At 44.4% G+C, this 16461-nt stretch overlaps 1 protein-coding gene across 10 annotated transcripts in view; it reads left to right on the plus strand.

Annotated features, from left to right (window-relative positions):
* DNAH10 (dynein axonemal heavy chain 10) overlaps positions 1–16461 on the plus strand; it is a 173420-nt gene that overhangs the window by 29811 nt on the left and 127148 nt on the right. For 8 of the 10 annotated variants that reach the window (NM_001372106.1, XM_017018960.2, XM_011538016.3 and 5 more), the window contains exons 12-18: positions 1831–2001; positions 4545–4721; positions 7135–7260; positions 8105–8277; positions 9170–9321; positions 11550–11714; positions 12722–12929. In NM_001372106.1, the coding sequence (NP_001359035.1) occupies positions 1831–2001; positions 4545–4721; positions 7135–7260; positions 8105–8277; positions 9170–9321; positions 11550–11714; positions 12722–12929 (1172 nt within the window). Of the gene's footprint in view, positions 1–1830; positions 2002–4544; positions 4722–7134; positions 7261–8104; positions 8278–9169; positions 9322–11549; positions 11715–12721; positions 12930–16461 lie in introns of those variants that run through there. The other 2 variants (NM_207437.3, XM_011538019.3) reach the window with 2 other exon arrangements.

The following is a 16461-nucleotide window of genomic DNA, read 5'->3' on the forward strand; positions in this document are numbered from 1 at the left end:
TCTTCATAACTTTTAGTTAAATTAATGACTAGTGTTTACTTATTATGTCTATGCAAATATTGTTCATTGCTGAGCTGGGAAGACCATCATAACTACAATACCTTTCTTGGCCAACCTTCAGTTTTCCTGGAGTTAATAATTGCTTTTGTTTTTTATTTGCCTGGTTATTTATGTACCCATTGTTAATTTTTTCCAACTTCTCTAATATCTCTGCCACATACCTATCAACAATAGCCTCTAAATACTTAAACATATCAGTGCCATTATTTACCTAGAGGCCTTCCTCCCAGAGCTCATTGTCCTCCTACTCTAGCTTGTTTACCTTTTTTTTCCTTTGTCCTTTTTTTTTTTTTTTTTTTTTTTTTGAGACAGAGTTTCGCTCTTGTTGCCCAGGCTGGAGTGTAATGGCGTGATCTTGGCTGACTGCAACCTCTGCCTCCTGGGTTCAAGCAATTCTCTTGCCTTGGCCTTCTGAGTAGCTGGGGTTACAGGTGTGTGCCACCACACCCAGCTAATTTTTGTGTTTTTTAGTAGAGACAGAGTTTCGCCATGTTGGCCAGGCTGGTCTTGAACTTCTGACTTCAAGTGATCCGCCTGCCTCAGCCTCTGAAAGTGCTGGGATTACAGGCATGAGCCACCACACCCGGCCAGCTTGTTTGCTTTTTGAGCCTGTTACAAAGCAGTCTAGGACCCTAGGACTTCCTATCTTCTCTCATCTGTGTTGGATTTTCAATTTTCTAGATCTCACCTCTTCCTCTTTCCTTGTTTACTCCTTCGTTTTGCTGGAGCACATTTAGTAGCTTCCTAAGTAAGGTTTCATGAGACATATATTTTGTGAGTCTTATATGTATGAATTCTGAAATAACAGGTATAGAATCCAAGGTTGAAAATCACCTTTCTTTAGAAATTTGAAGTTTTTAAAATTGATTTCTAGCTTCCAATATTAGAAGTCTGATGTTATTCTTGAGTTAATTTTTCTAGAACTAACCTTCCACTCTTTTATAGAATGGAGTGGGGGTGGGAGGGATTGAGGCTGCAGAGTGGCCTGGCTGTGCAAGGTGAGAAAGGGATTCCCTGTTTGCCCCTCACCTTCATGCACACTGACTCCCTTCCTGGGCCCAGTGCCTCCAAATGCTAAGCCTTCTGGAGTTTCTTCAAGGAACAAACAGGGACTCACTTGCGCCCCCTATTTTCAGCATTAGGTTGTAACTACCTGCCTTAGTTACTGTCTTTTTTTTTTTTTTTGGAATGGAGTCTCGCTCTGTCGCCCAGGCTGGAGTGCAGTGGCGCCATCTCGGCTCACTACAGTCTCCACCTCCTGGGTTCACACCGTTCTCCTGACTCAGCCTCCAGAGTACCTGGGACTACAGGCGCCCACCACCATGCCCGGCTAATTTTTTGTATTGTTAGTAGAGACGGGGTTTCACCGTGTTAGCCAGGATGGTCTCGATCTCCTGACCTCGTGATCTGCCCGTCTCGGCCTCCCAAAGTACTGGGATTACAGGTGTGAGGCACTGCGCCTGGCCCTGCCTTCATTACTTTCTTACTAAAAATTCCTGAACTATTTCCTCTGTTGTTGTGTCCTCTCCTGCATTTTTTGTTTATATGAGTTAATACTTTAAAAAATTCCTTTACCTTTGAACTGGTTGGGGAGAGAGATCAGGAAATCAACATAGCCAATCTCCCACTTTAAATTGGATACCAGTTTCCATTACTTATGCCATAGAAATCTGTCCCAAACCACTGATTTTTTTTTTCTTATTTCTTGCCACTTTATTTTGGCAGGATAATTACAGGGGCATGAGGGTTGTTTTGTTGATTTTTTTGCAGGTTATTGAGAAAGAAGCAAAACATTTTATTGATGAATCTTTTAAGACGCTTCGATCTGCTGAAGCAGCATTTGACATGCTTTTAAAATTTAAGCACATTCGTTCACGGGAGGCTGTTAATCGACAAATGATGATGAAATTTAATGATATTCTTGCACAGTACTGTAAAGAGGTAATTGAAAAATCGATAGCTGCCATAGCATTAAAAATACACTTGGCAAAATGTGAACAATTGAATCCCACTATTGTCTGTCTTTCCCATCTGAATTCAGAGAAACTAGAATTTTCCCAAATTAGCATGTTACGTAATACACGTAACCCGAACAAAGTGGGTTTGTTTATTTAGTGGAGAAATTCAATAAGAATTAAGTATATTATGATTTACTCACATTGTGGTGGGCCCTGTGTGGGTTAGTAATAATCATGGTAGTAATAGTAATCATAGTTAACCATGTCCAAGGATCATATATGTATTTATAATTAACTCAGAACAATTTATCTGGTGCTCACATATCTCAAGTATGGTGTTAGGCACAGAGATAGAGAGATGAACAAAACGTGGATTCTGCTTTTAAAGAAGTCAGTATCTAGTTGGAGAAATAGACCAAAAAATGCTTATAATCTGCTGGGCACAGTGACTCATGCCTGTAATCCTAGCACTTTGGGAGGCCGAGGCCAGCGGATTGCTTGAGTTCAGGAGTTTGAGACCAGCCTAGGCAACATAGCAAAACTCCATCTCTACAAAAAATATGAAAATTATCCTGGTGTGGTGGCGCACACCTATGGTCTCAGCTACTTGGGAGGCAGAGGTGGGAGAATCACCTGGGCCAATGGAGGTTGAGGCTGCAGTGAGCCATGATCTTGCCACTGTACTCCAGCCTGGGCAACAGAGTGAAACCCTGTCTAAAAAAAAAAAAAAAATGCTGGCCAGTCGCTGTGACTCATGCCTGTAATCTCAGCACTTGGGGAGGCCGAGGCAGGTGGATCACCTGAGGTCAGGAGTTCGAGACCAGCCTTTGCCAACATGGTGAAACCCCCTCTTTACTAAAAATACAAAAATTAGCCAGGCGTGGTGGTGGTGTCTGTAATCCCAGCTACTCAGGAGGCTGAGGCAGGTGAGTCGCTTGAACCCGGGAAGTGGAGGTTGCAGTGAGCTGAGATCGCGCGATTGCACTCCAGCCTGGGCGACGAGTGAAACTTCGTCTCAAAAAAAAAAAAAAAAGAAAAAAGAAAAAAATGCTTATAATCTTATGTAGAAGACAAAATGAGAATATGTGGAATGATTAGGTGAGCATAAGGTAGTATAAAAAAAGGCCTAAGGTGGTCTCCTGATGTCTTAGTTTCCCAATGCTGCTGGAACTAATGACCACAGATGCAGTGACTTAGAACAACACAGATTTATTCTCTTATGGTACTGGAGGTCAGAAGTTTGCCACGGGTGTCCCTGGGTTTAAATCGAGGTGTGAGCAGGGCTGTGTTCCCTTCGGGAGTCTCTAGGGATGATTCAGTGCTTTGCTTTCCCCAAATTCTAGAAGTTCCTGGTTCCCTTTCATCTTCAAAGCCAGTGGTGGCCACTTTCACTTCAGATCACTCTGACCTCCTTTTCTGCCTCCTCCTTCCTGTTTTAGGACCCTTGTGATTACATAGAACCTCCCCAGAAAATTCAGGATAATTTATCTATTTTAAGATCAGCTGACTGACAACATTAATTCCATCTGCAACCATAATTCCCCTTTGTCATGTAACATTACATATTTTCAGCTTCTGGGGATTAGGACGTGGACATCTTTGGGAGGCGAGGCCATCATTGTGCCTGCCACACCTAATTACCCCCACGAGAGCTCAGACATGCTTCTTTTAAAAACACAGTTCTGGTGACTGTAGTCAATAACCTAATTATACATCTAAAAGTAACTAAAAGAGTATAATTGGATTGTTTTTATAACACAAAGGATAAGTGCTTGAGGGGATGGACACCCCATTCTCCATGATGTGGTTATTATGCATAGCATGTTTATATCAAAACGTGCCCTATAGCCCATGAATATGTATACTTTACCTGCAAAAACTAAAAACTAAAAATTAAAAAAAAACCAAAGGTCTGCCACTGTGGTCATGTCTAGAACAGATTTCCGGATTTCTGATAATTGGATCAAGCCAATATACACAGTGTGCATGCTCTGTAATTGTAAGGCAATTTGGAGCATTGCATATGTTGAAGAAAAGATTACTACAGCCGGGCTCGGTGGCTCACGCCTGTCCTCGCAGCACTTTGGGACCCTGAGGTGGGCAGATCACCTGAGGTCAGGAGTTTGATACCTGCCTGGACAACATGGGGAAACACCATTTCTACCAAAAATACAAAAATTAGCTGGGCATAGTGGTGGGCGCCTGTAATCCCAGCTACTTGGGAGGCTGAGGCAAGAGAATCACTTGAGCCTGGGAGGCGGAGTTTTCAGTGAGCCGAGATCATGCCACTGCACTCCAGCCTGGGCAACAGCGCAAGACTCTGCCTCAACAACAACAACAACAAAAAGATTACTACAGAGCATAAGAAAAAGTAGTAAATAATAAGTAAACAGTGAAAACACTATTCTGCATCTTAGAATATTTTTTGACATTCCACTTTTGGTTTCCTTAAAGATTCAAATCTCATCTTTCTTGGCTAACCTGGCGATGTTTATCACTTACAGAAGCTGTTTGATTGCTTTTCAGATTGACATCATTAATAAAATCTTTGTCCAGAACCTTGAAAATCCACCACTGTATAAGAATCACCCTCCAGTAGCAGGTGCAATATACTGGGAACGATCTCTGTTCTTTCGGATTAAGCATACCATCCTCCGATTTCAAGAGGTACAAGAGATACTGGACAGTGATCGAGGACAGGAGGTATGTTGCTCTTGCTAGAATTGGCTCCTTTTGTATTTGATTTTTTTTTTTTTTTTGAGATGGAGTCTCGCTCTGTCGCCCAGGCTGGAGTGCAGTGGCGCAATCTCGGCTCACTGCAACCTCCGCCTCCCAGGTTCAAGCGATTCTCTTGCCTCAGCCTCCCAAGTAGCTGGGACTACAGGCATGTGCCACCACGTCCGGCTAATTTTTTTGTATTTTTAGTAGAGGTGGGATTTTACCGTGTTAGCCAGGATGGTCTGGATTTCCTGACCTCGTGATCTGCCCACCTGGGCCTCCCAAAGTGCTGGGATTACAGGCGTAAGCCATAGCACCCGGCCCTGTATTTAATGTTTTAATCCTAGACTGGCTGCCCTCCCCGATCCCATCCAGGAGAAGCATTAGATCAGGCTGCTGCCGCCATGCAGCACGCTATGTAGAGTGGCCCATTTGAGAAGCAGCTCAATTTCAGACCCATGCCTGTGAGTTAGAGGGTCTTTCTGTTGTCCTTGCATTCATGCTCATAGTAAACTGCCTTTTGCGTTCCTTCTTTTTCTTTTCTTTTTCTTTTTTTTTTTTTTAAGACAAGGTCTTGCTGTGTTGCCCAGGCTGGAGTGCAGTGGCACAATCACAGCTCACTGCAGCCTTGACCTTCTGGGTTTAAGCGATCCTCCTGCCTCAGCCTCCCGAGTAGCGGGGCCTACAGGTGTGGGCCACCACGCCTGGCCCATTTTTGTATTTTTTGTAGAGATGAGGTTGCACCATGTTGCCTGCCCAGGCTGGTCTCAAACTCCTGAGCTCAAGCAATCTGTCCACCTCGGCCTCCCAAAGTGTTGGGCTTACAGGCGTGAGCCACTGCACCTGGCCTGTGTTCTTTCTCTTTGGCATCTTAATACAGAAGACATCTTCCAGAATGTGGTCATGTGGGCTTCTTCCTGTATTGAATTTTCAGCTTCTTTGGAGGATGCCTACCATCTTTTCGATATGATCTCACCCCCCACCCATGGATTTTTATATGTTATATAGCAGAGGCTGGTAAGCCATTTCTTTGAAGATCCCGATAGTAAATATTTTAGGGGTTTGGACAATTTCTCTGCAACGACTCAACCTGTCGTTGCTGCAATAAAGTATCCCCCAGATAATACGTTTTGAACAGGCGTGGCTGTGTCCAATAAAACTTTATTTATGGATGCTGAATTTGAATTTCATATCTTTTTCTTGAGTTACAAAGCATTATTATTCTTTTGATTTCTTTTTAATCATCTAAATCATTTCCTTCTCTTCATGTAAAAGCTGTTCTTAGTTCATGGGTAGAGACCAAGGCAGTTCATGGACTGTGGTTTGCAGAAGGCTGCCAGTCAACCTAGATTTCAAGTTATCAACTATATTAGTCCATTTTGCTATAAAGAAACTGGGTAATTTATAAGAAAAGAGGTTTAATTGGCTCACAGTTCTGCAGGCTGTACAGGTAGCATAGCCTTCCTGGGAGGTCCCAGGAAACTCCCAATCATGGTGGAAGGCAAAGTGGGGGCAGGTACCTCACACAGTGGGAGCAGGAGCAAGAGAGAGTGAAGGGGCAGGTGCTGCCCACTTTCACTTGAGCAGATCTCCCAAGAACTCACTCAGCATCACCAGGACAGTCCCAAGAGAGGTGGTGCAAACCATTCACGAGAATTCCGCCTTCGTGATCCAGTTGCCTCCCAGCAGGCCCCACCTCCAACACTGGGGATTACAATGCAGTATGAGATTTGGGAGGACAGAGATCTGTGCTATATCACCATCGCAGACCAACTCTCCAAGCTTTGGGAAAATCTATTGACTTCCTTTTTCAAAATGTGTTTATATCTAATACTATTTTATATTATATTATTTAATATTATATAACTATATATTATTTATTATATTAACATTTTTATTTATTATATTTATAATGTATGTATACAAAATTATGTAGAAAGATATGAAAAAATGTTTATATATAATTATATAAAAATGACCAGGTGCAGTGGCTCACACCTGTAATCCCAGCACTTTGAAAGGCCGAGGTGGGCAGATCACCTGAGGTCAGGAGTTCAAGACCAGCCTGGCCAACATGGTGAAACCCTGTCTCTACTAAAATACAAAAATTAGCTGGGTGTGGTGGCATGTGCCTGTAATCCTAGCTACTTGGGAGGCTGAGGCAGGAGAATCGCTTGAGCCCGGGAGGCGAAGGATGTAGTGAGCTGAGATCGCGCTACTACACTCCAGCCTGGGCGACAGAGTGAGACTCCGTCTCCAAAAAAAAAAAAAAAAAATTATATAATGTTTATAATAATTTATATATTATATTTATAATTTGTATAAATTATCTGTGTAGAGCGAGATGAAAAATGTTATTTTCAAGGACAAAATGACGGTTGCTTGAATTCTTTGATAGGTCAAACAAAAATATTTGGAAGTAGGTAGGACAATGAAGGAGTATGAAGACAGAAAGTATGAGCAGTGGATGGAGGTGACGGAGCAGGTGCTGCCAGCTCTCATGAAGAAGAGCCTTTTGACCAAGGTGCGCTGCCCACGCCCTCATTCCCGATTGCCGCGTGAGACGATGGCGTCTGCCACATTTTCTCAAGGCTTGATTTGTTGACATTCATGAAGTTGGGTCAGTTTCCAGAATCAAAGACAAGGAAGGGCTAGGGGAGGAGGAGAAAGGAAAGAGTGGAGATGGCACGATGCCATGGCTAGGACGCGGGCTGGAAACGGGCAGCCCTACTGACTTCTTGGGCAAGTGGCTGAATACCAAGCCTCCGTTTCCCCATTTATGAAATGCGTTTTATAAATCAGATGATGTAGACAAGCAAAGGGTTGGTTGAATCATATATGAAACAGAGCTGACAGCTGGCCATCTTTAACCTGCAGAAAAATGCCATTCCACCTGATTCATCCTCTTCTTCAGCTCTGGGCCCCGCACTTGGTGAATGCTCGATAAACGAACACCTGCCGTTAGGGAGGAAAGATGCAGCCTGGCAGTTTTAGGTCTTTGGTTCCTGAAATCCTGACGTAGGGACCAAAGCAAGTGGAGAGGGCCAGGTGGGACCCCTAGGGAACAGGTGGGCTCAGATCCGACCAAAGAGGCAACTGCTCCATGTCAGATTTTCCAGTGTTTCAAGGGAAGGCAGAAGGAATTTTTAGGTGAAATTGCTCCATTTTCAAATGCCGGCAACTGAATTGATTCTTCAAAATCTCCGTTCACCAAACAAAATACATATTCCAGCCAGTTCCAGCCAGCACCCCCGTCTGGTGAAGGGCCCAGTGTTGATCTTTTTCATGTTCACTTTTGGTGTGGGTTGTGTTGATCCAACTGTCTCTTGGACTGCCCTGGCCGCGCTGATGGAATGTCTCTTCCACAGTCTTCCATCGCCACAGAGGAGCCTTCGACTTTAGAAAGGGGAGCTGTTTTTGCAATCAACTTTTCACCGGCTCTCAGAGAGATTATTAATGAAACAAAGTACTTAGAGCAGCTGGGGTTCACTGTCCCTGAATTAGCAAGAAATGTTGCTCTCCAGGAAGACAAATTCCTTAGGTAAAAAAATTCTTCTTTTAAATTAGCAGTAAGCTTTTTGTTCTTGGGACCCCTTTACGCTCTTAAAAATTATTGAGGACCCCTCCAAAAGCTTTCATTTTTGTGGATTTTATAATTATGAATTCTTACCACATTAGAAATTGAAGCTAAGGCCTGGGCGTTGTGGTGCTACCTGTAGTCTCAGCTACTTGGGAGGCTTAGGTGGGAGGATTCCTTGAACCTGGGAGATTGAGGCTGCAGTGAACCGTGATTGCTCTATCTCCAGCCTGGGAGACAGAGCGAGAGCCTGTATCCAAAAAAAAAAAAAGAAGAAAAAAAAATTGAAGCTAAGAAAAGTTTAAAATATGGGGTTGGGTGTGGTGGCTCACGCCTGTAATCCCAGTACTTTGGGAGGCCGAGGCGGGCAGATCATGAGGTCAGGAGTTCAAGACCAGCCTGGCCAGCATGGTGAAACCCCATCTCTACTAAAACTACAAAAATTAGCTGGGCATGGTGGCTCATGCCTGTAGTCTCAGCTACTTGGGAGGCTGAGGCAGGAGAATTGCCTGAACCTGGCAGGCAGAGGTTGCAGTGAGCCGAGATCGTGCCACTGCACTCCAGCCTAGGCGACAGAGCGAGACTCCATCTCAAAAAAAAAAAGAAAAGTTTAAAATAGGGATCAACAATAGTAAACCTATTTCATGTAATATAAATAACATCTTTAATGAGAAGTAACCAATATTTTCCAAAAAAGAAAGTTAATGAGAAGAGTGATGTTTTAAATTTCTGCAAATCTCTTGATCAAGGTTGGTCTTGATTGAGACCACGGTCTTTTGTAATCTCTTGACCGCAAAAGCTTTTGATGAGCTTAAAGGTGCTCTCCTCAGGTTTATGACATTCCTGTCATGTGCAGGTACACAGCTGGGATACAGCGCATGTTGGATCATTATCACATGCTCATAGGAACGTTAAACGATGCGGAGTCTGTGCTTCTCAAAGATCATTCCCAGGAACTGCTCCGAGTGTTTAGGTCGGGATATAAGAGGTTGAACTGGAACTCACTAGGTAACGTCATTCATCTATTGATTGCCTTTTAGACTTGGGATGCAAAGTAATTCTTTTAGGTTGTTTTATTTGAATTACCATTTTCATATGTTTATAGAGACAATTAACAATTTTTGAGGGTTAAGAAATACAAGTTGCGGAACTTAGAACTGATCTCCAGGCTGTCGTTGGGATGAAGATAAGAGGGGTGATATTTTCACACTCTGCAGACCCAAAGCACATTTCTCCCAAAAGAAAATCACCTTTACTTTTATTTTTTTAATTAAAAATGTAATTTGGAGGTAATTATAGATTCACATGCAGTTGTTAAGAATTACGACAGAGGGAGCCTTCGTACCCTTTAGTCATTTTCCCTAAGTAGTAACTTCTTGCAAAACTAGTTAAGATCACAACCAAGATATTGACATTGATACAGTCGAGATAGAGAGCATTTTCAACACCACAGCGAGTACTGTCAAGTCCACTTCCCTCCCATCCTTGCCCTCTCCTTAATCCCTGGCAACCATGAATCTTTATTCAATTTCTGTAATGTTGTCATTTCAGAGTGTTATATAAATGAGATAACACATAGCCCTTTTTTGATTTGGCTCTTCTTGCTCAGCCTAAGTCTTCAAAGATCTGCCCTTGTTGGATGTGTCAACAGTCTGTGGATTTTCGAAGCATACCCCACGGTATCAATGTACCATAGTTTGTTCAGCCTTTCACCTTTTGAAGGACAACTAGGTTGTTTCCGGTTTTGGCTCTTAGGAATAAAGCTGCTATAAACATTTGTGTACAGGGTTTTGTGTGACAGGAGTCTTCACTTTTTCTGGGATAAATGCCCAGGAGTGCAGTTGCTGAGTTGCACGGTAGTTGCATGTTTAGTTTAAGGTTGTTGTTGTTGTTGTTTTGAGATGGAGTTTCGCTCTTGTTGTCCAGGCTGGAGTGCAGTGGGGCAATCTCAGCTCACTGCAATCTCCACCTCCTGGGTTCAAGCGATTCTCCTGCCTCAGCCTCCCGAGTAGCTTGGATTATAGGCACCTGCCACCACTTCTGGCTCACTTTTGTATTTTTAGTAGAGATGGGGTTTTGCCATGTTGGCCAGGCTGATCTTGAACTCCTGGCCTCAAGTGATCCATCCGCCTTGGCCTTTCAAAGTGCTGGGATTACAGGCGTGAGCCACCACGTGTGGCCTTTTTTTGTTTTTGTTTTTGTTTTACTGTCATGCTGTCTTACAGGGCGGCTGTGCCATTTTACATTTCCATCATCAATATATGAGTGACTCGGTTTCTCTGCATCCTGGCCAGTTTTGCTGTCACTTTTTTTTTTTTTTTTTAATTTTGGCCATCTGATAGCTGTGTAATGATATCTCATGGTTCTGATTTGACTTCTGTAATGGCTAATGGTGTTGAGCATCTTTTCATGTGCTAATAAGCACAAATATGTCATGTGTATGGCCTCTTCAGCAACACGTCTTTTTATGTCTTTTGCCTATTTTCTAATTAGATTGTTTGTTTTCTTTACTGTTGAGTTTTGAGCATCCTTGGTATACTCTAGATACTCGTCTTTTATTGGATGTGTGGTTTGCAGCTATTTTCTCCCACTCTGTCGCTTGTCTTTTCTTTCTCGTAGGAGGGCCTCTGGTAGAGCAAAAACTGTAAATTTCAACTAAGTCCAGTGTATCAATTTTTCCTTTAATGGGTTCTACTTTTGCTGTCAAGTCGAAGAATCATAAGTTTTTTTCTCTCCTTGTGTTTTGTTTCTAAAAATGTTATAGTATGATGTTTCCCAGTATAGTCTGTGATCCACTTTGGGGTTTTTATTTTCATAAAGTGAGACCGATCGTAAGTACTTAGCCCGAGTTTACTGTTCATGTTCTTGCTGTTCGTCTAAGCTCCAGGCCAGAGGAGGCTGCGGGCAGGTGGTGCAGAGTGGAGGTTCAGGGAGCTCCAGCAGTGAGAAGACAGCTAGGCTTGATAGTCCCTTTCTCCCCATGGTGCTCCAGCCAGGACCGTGCTAACATTTGAATAGAAGAGATGCATTGCTTGGTTGATTCTGGGCTCAGGACTCCTTGTCCCAGTCCCTTAGGGTTCAAAGTGGATCTTTGCCAGCCCAAAGACCCAAGGGGTTGGAATGAGCAGGGTCTTTCCTGCAAAGGGATGCCAGTATTAACATCACAGACGTTGGTGGGGGGATGTGGAAAGACAGAGTTGGAAGCCAAATGTCTTTCTTTCTTTCTTTCTTCAAAGGTATCGGTGACTATATAACTGGTTGCAAACAGGCCATTGGGAAATTTGAGTCTCTCGTCCACCAGATTCATAAGAATGCAGATGACATTTCTTCCAGGCTGACATTAATAGAGGCCATAAATCTCTTTAAATATCCAGCCGCTAAAAGTGAGGAAGAACTCCCAGGTAGATCTGACTTCTGGGTTCTCCAGTTATGGAATTAATGAGAACATATATTGTATATACATACATGTGTATATATGTACCTATAAATATACATATGTATTTGTATGTTCCATGAATGGCATCAAACCATTTCTAATGCTCTCAGTCATTTACTTGAAAGAATCACGGGTAGCTATTACTTTTTGTCATGTTTTATATATTGCTTAGTTTAACAAATTCATGTTTATTTGTTTTTGTTTTGTTTTTTTCTGAGACGAGGGCTCACTATGTTGCCCAGGCTGGTCTTGGACTCCTGGCCTCAAGTGATCCTCCCACCTCATCTGCGAAAGCCTGTGGTACTTTGTTGATAACTTTGTAACAGTAAAGCTAGTTGTATTTTTTATGGGCTCACATTTACTTGCTAAAGAAAGATACTTTAGGCAGGGCTCGGTGGCTCACGCCTATAATCCCAGCACTTTGGGAGGCTGAGGCAGGCAGATCACAAGGTCAGGAAATCGAGACCATCCTGGCTAACACGGTGAAACCCTGTCTCTACTAAAAATACAAAAAATTAGCTGGGCGTGGTGGTGGGCACCTGTAGTCCCAGCTACTCGGGAGGCTGAGGCAGGAGAATGGCGTGAACCTGGGAGGCGGAGCTTGCAGTGAGCCCAGATCGCACCACTGCAGCACTCCAGCCTGGGTGACAGAGTGAGACTCCGTCTCAAAAAAAAAAAAAAAGATACTTTAAGTGGTCTTAGACTAGTCAACAAGGAATTCAAGATATGTCAACAATGAATTGAAGAAAAACAAGATTGCCCAAAGGTATAAAAGCCACTAGATGTGCGTAACTGGTTGTCATTTATTTGTTGCTTAGTGTGTGTTCTGATATTGACTTATGTTCTGCTTTGGGCTGAGGTTGGAGGCTGGTTTTGGTTTTTTTAAGACACACAGCTCATGTTTGGATTGCCTTTTGAGTGCTGTCCTTCCCTGTGTTCGTGGACAGCTCTAACAGACATCTTTCTCTCCAGGCGTGAAGGAATTTTTTGAACACATTGAGCGAGAAAGGGCCAGCGACGTGGACCACATGGTCCGGTGGTATCTTGCCATTGGACCACTGCTGACCAAAGTTGAGGGCCTGGTCGTCCACACCAACACAGGCAAGGCCCCCAAGCTGGCCTCCTACTACAAATACTGGGAAAAGAAAATTTATGAGGTCCTGACAAAGCTCATCCTGAAGTAAGTTCATCTTGTTGCATGCTTTAAAATGGTGTGTGTAGATTAAAACAGTTGACAAATATGGACAGTTAGAGGGGGTGGCAAGGTAGAGAATGAAAATCAGTTGGATGGTCAGAGGCTTTCTGGCAGAAGGGCACTCACAGAATGGGGGGATGACCTTCATGATCTTGTTAGGCCCCTCAACATTCCAAAAAAGAAAGGATCCCTCTCCCCACTTCAACTGTCTGAAAGCCATCGTGAGCCTGTGTTCAGCTGGCAGCAGAGAATCGCTGTCACTCAATATTGGCTAGAATCCCAGAGGACTTCCTTGTTCATGTTGAGAGTGACAGACGTGAAGGACACATGGCCTATTCCTTGCTGATTTCAAGTCAGCCCCTAGTTAGCGCGGTCTGTGCGTGTTGAATGCCTGTTTCATGTGCCAGCCTCTGACACGCCAGACTCTGTCCCTTCCCTCCTGGGCCTCACCCTCAGCAGCTCAGCCAGACCAGCTGGAAGCTGAGTGCCTGGACCCCATCGCATTGGTGGCCCACAGACTGTTCTGGGGTGTGAGGCTGACAGTTTAGGATCATTCTAGGAAACCAGCCTGTGAAATCCATCACCGTTACCGTCACGTCTATATTGTCAAGAGTAGTGTTCATTTTATCATGCAGTGTCTTCCTTATGAAGGGGAACTCCAGAAGAAATGACTCTAGTTCCTTCTTTGACCCCAGCCTCACATTTTTCTCTTCTTTTCTTTTTTTTTTTTTTTTTGTTTGAGACAGAGTCTCGCTCTGTCGCCCAGGTTGGAGTGCAGTGGCATGATCTCGGCTCACTGCAAGCTCCGCCTCCCGGGTTCATGCCATTCTCCTGCCTCAGCCTCCTGAGTAGCTGGGACTACAGGCGCCCACCACTACGCCTGGCTAGTTTTTTGTATTTTTAGTAGAGATGGGGTTTCACCGTGTTAGCCAGGGTGGTCTTGATCTCCTGACCTCATGATCCGCCCGCGTTGGCCTCCCAAAGTGCTGGGATTACAGGCGTGAGCCACTGCGCCCGGCCACCCCGCCTGACATTTTTCTTTTTCGTTTTTTGCTTTCATTTTCTTGTTTGGTTTTTAAGTGATACGGACTCTATGGATTGTTAACTTCATAGCTTTCCCTTTCACGTTGGCTGCTAGGAAGCTTAGAACCAAATTTGTGGCCTAAATGCAGCAAGTGTGTAGGTATCTATGATTCACATTTTAGTCTCATCTGAACACATAGGAAAGCTCACCTTGCACCATGTTCTGTGCTGGACTCTTTCCAATTCTCATCCCTGTTTTACAGAGGAGGATACAGAATCTTGGCAGGTTAAGTGACTCGTCCGGGACCACACAGCCAGTAAGAGAAAGGGCTGGGATTTGAACCTGGGCAGTCTGACTCCAGTATCATTTCCTGAAATGGTGTCTGATTAGTGTCTTCTTCGTTCCTTACTTTACCTCACTTTGATTTTAGGATCTCTTACTGCAGTTAAAGTATCTTTGTGAGCTGCTAAAAATCTCTTTTGGAATAATACACTGAAAAATAAAACAAAAACCTTTGGTCTTCTTGTTTTCTGGACCCAGTTTCGCAAACTTCTCTAAGTTGATCCTTTAAATAACTCTGTTTTCTGTGTATTTCATTTATTCTCTGTTACTACTTTTAATTTAGATTCCTAAAGCAGTCCCTTACATGGAGCTACCTCCTATAGTGTTTCCCTTACTAATATGCTATGTTTTTTTTTTTTTTTTTGAGACGGAGTCTTGCTCTGTTGCCCAGGCTGGAGTGCAGTGGCGCAATCTTGGCTCGCTGCAACCTCCGCCTTCTGGGTTCACACCATTCTCCTGCCTCAGCCTCCTGAGTAGCTGGGACTACAGGTGCCCACCATCACGCCCAGCTAATTCTTTTGTATTTTTAGTAGAGACGGAGTTCCACTGTGTTAGCCAGGATGGTTTCAATGTCCTGACCTCGTGATCTGCCTGCCTTGGCCTCCCAAAGTTCTGGGATTACAGGCGTGAGCCACCGCGCCTGGCCCTGCTATGTTTTCTTTTGATCCATTTATTAACTCATTCATTCATTTGTTCATCCATCCATCCATCATCCATCCATCCATCCATCTGTTCATTCACTCATCCATCCACACATTCATCCCCACATCCATCCATCCATCCATCCATCCATCCATCCATCCATCCATCCATCCAAGGTTGAGTAAAGCCTGCCCTGTGCTGCCTGTTGGATTAGACTCTGGTCACAGACAAGGCCCCTGTATCCTTGCAGTTTCTCTAACCTCATAGAGAAGGCAGGACACAGGGAAACAGACATAAAAGAGATGAGTTCTGTAAAAGAAACAAAGCAGCCTAGTGTTCTGGGGAGAGAATGGAGATGCTGCTGTAATTGGGTGGTCAAGAAAGACCCCGGAAATTCCACATTTTAGTAGAGACCTGAAGATGAGGAGTGAGCTGAAACGGGGAAGAGCTTTCTGGGGGAAGCCAAAAACTGCTGTGAAGACCCACAGGTGGGCCTTTGGTCAGTGGAAGAAACAGAAAGAAGGAAAGATGAGATTGAAGGAGGGGATGAAGCTGGAGAGGGTGGCAGGGGTGGATCAGGTCACAGGGAGCCTGGGAAGCCACGGCAGGGAGCTTGCATTTTATCTGACAGCCATGGGAGGCTGCTGGAGTGTTTTCAACTGGAGAAAGAGGAGGAGAGGGAGGGAGAGAGAAACAGGGAGAGGGATCGAGAGAGAGAGGTGGAGAGAGAGGCAGAGGGGGAGAGAGAGAGAGATAAGGAGGGGGGAAGAGGGAGAGAGGAAGGGAGAAGCCTGGAGAGGGAGAGAGAAACAGGAAGAGGGAGAGAGAGGTGAAGAGAGAGGGGAGAGAGAGGAGAGAGAAGGGGAGGGAAAAGGAGAAGGAGGGAGGGAGAGGGTGAGAGAGGGAGGTGGAGTGAGAGGGAGAGGGAGAGAGAGACGGGAGGAGGGAGAGGGAGGAGTTAGATGTTTTTGTTTTGTTTTGTTTTTTGAGACAGGGTCTCACTCTGTCACCAAGGCTGGAGTGCAGTGGCATGTTCATGGCTCACTGCAGCCTCAACCTCCCTGTCTCAAGCAATTCTCCCACTTCAGCCTCCTGAATATCTGGGACCACAGGCGTGTGCCACTATGCCCAGCTAATTTATTTTTATTTTAGAGACAGGGTCTTGCTGTGTTGCCCAGGCTGGTCTCAAACTCCTGGGCTCAAATGATCCTCCCACCTCAGCCTCCCAAAGTACTGGGATTACAGATGTGAGCCACTGCGCCCCGCTAGATGTTTTAAAATAGTGTCTCTGGCTGCCATGTGAATTACTGGATGGGGTTGGGCCGGCAGGGGGAAGCAGGGAGACTGGGCTGGAGGCTGATGAAGTTCCATCCCTGGGTGTCACATCTACTTTCATCCTGGAAAGGATGGAGCCAGTAGGGCAGGCTGGGTGGGGATGTGAGTGCTCCTTTTTCCTTACCAGAGTTGAGCAGGTTTTGGAAGTCATTATTGTTTAACTATTTTCCAACC

Source organism: Homo sapiens, chromosome 12 (assembly GCF_000001405.40).
Source record: "Homo sapiens chromosome 12, GRCh38.p14 Primary Assembly".
Lineage (NCBI taxonomy): Eukaryota > Metazoa > Chordata > Mammalia > Primates > Hominidae > Homo > Homo sapiens.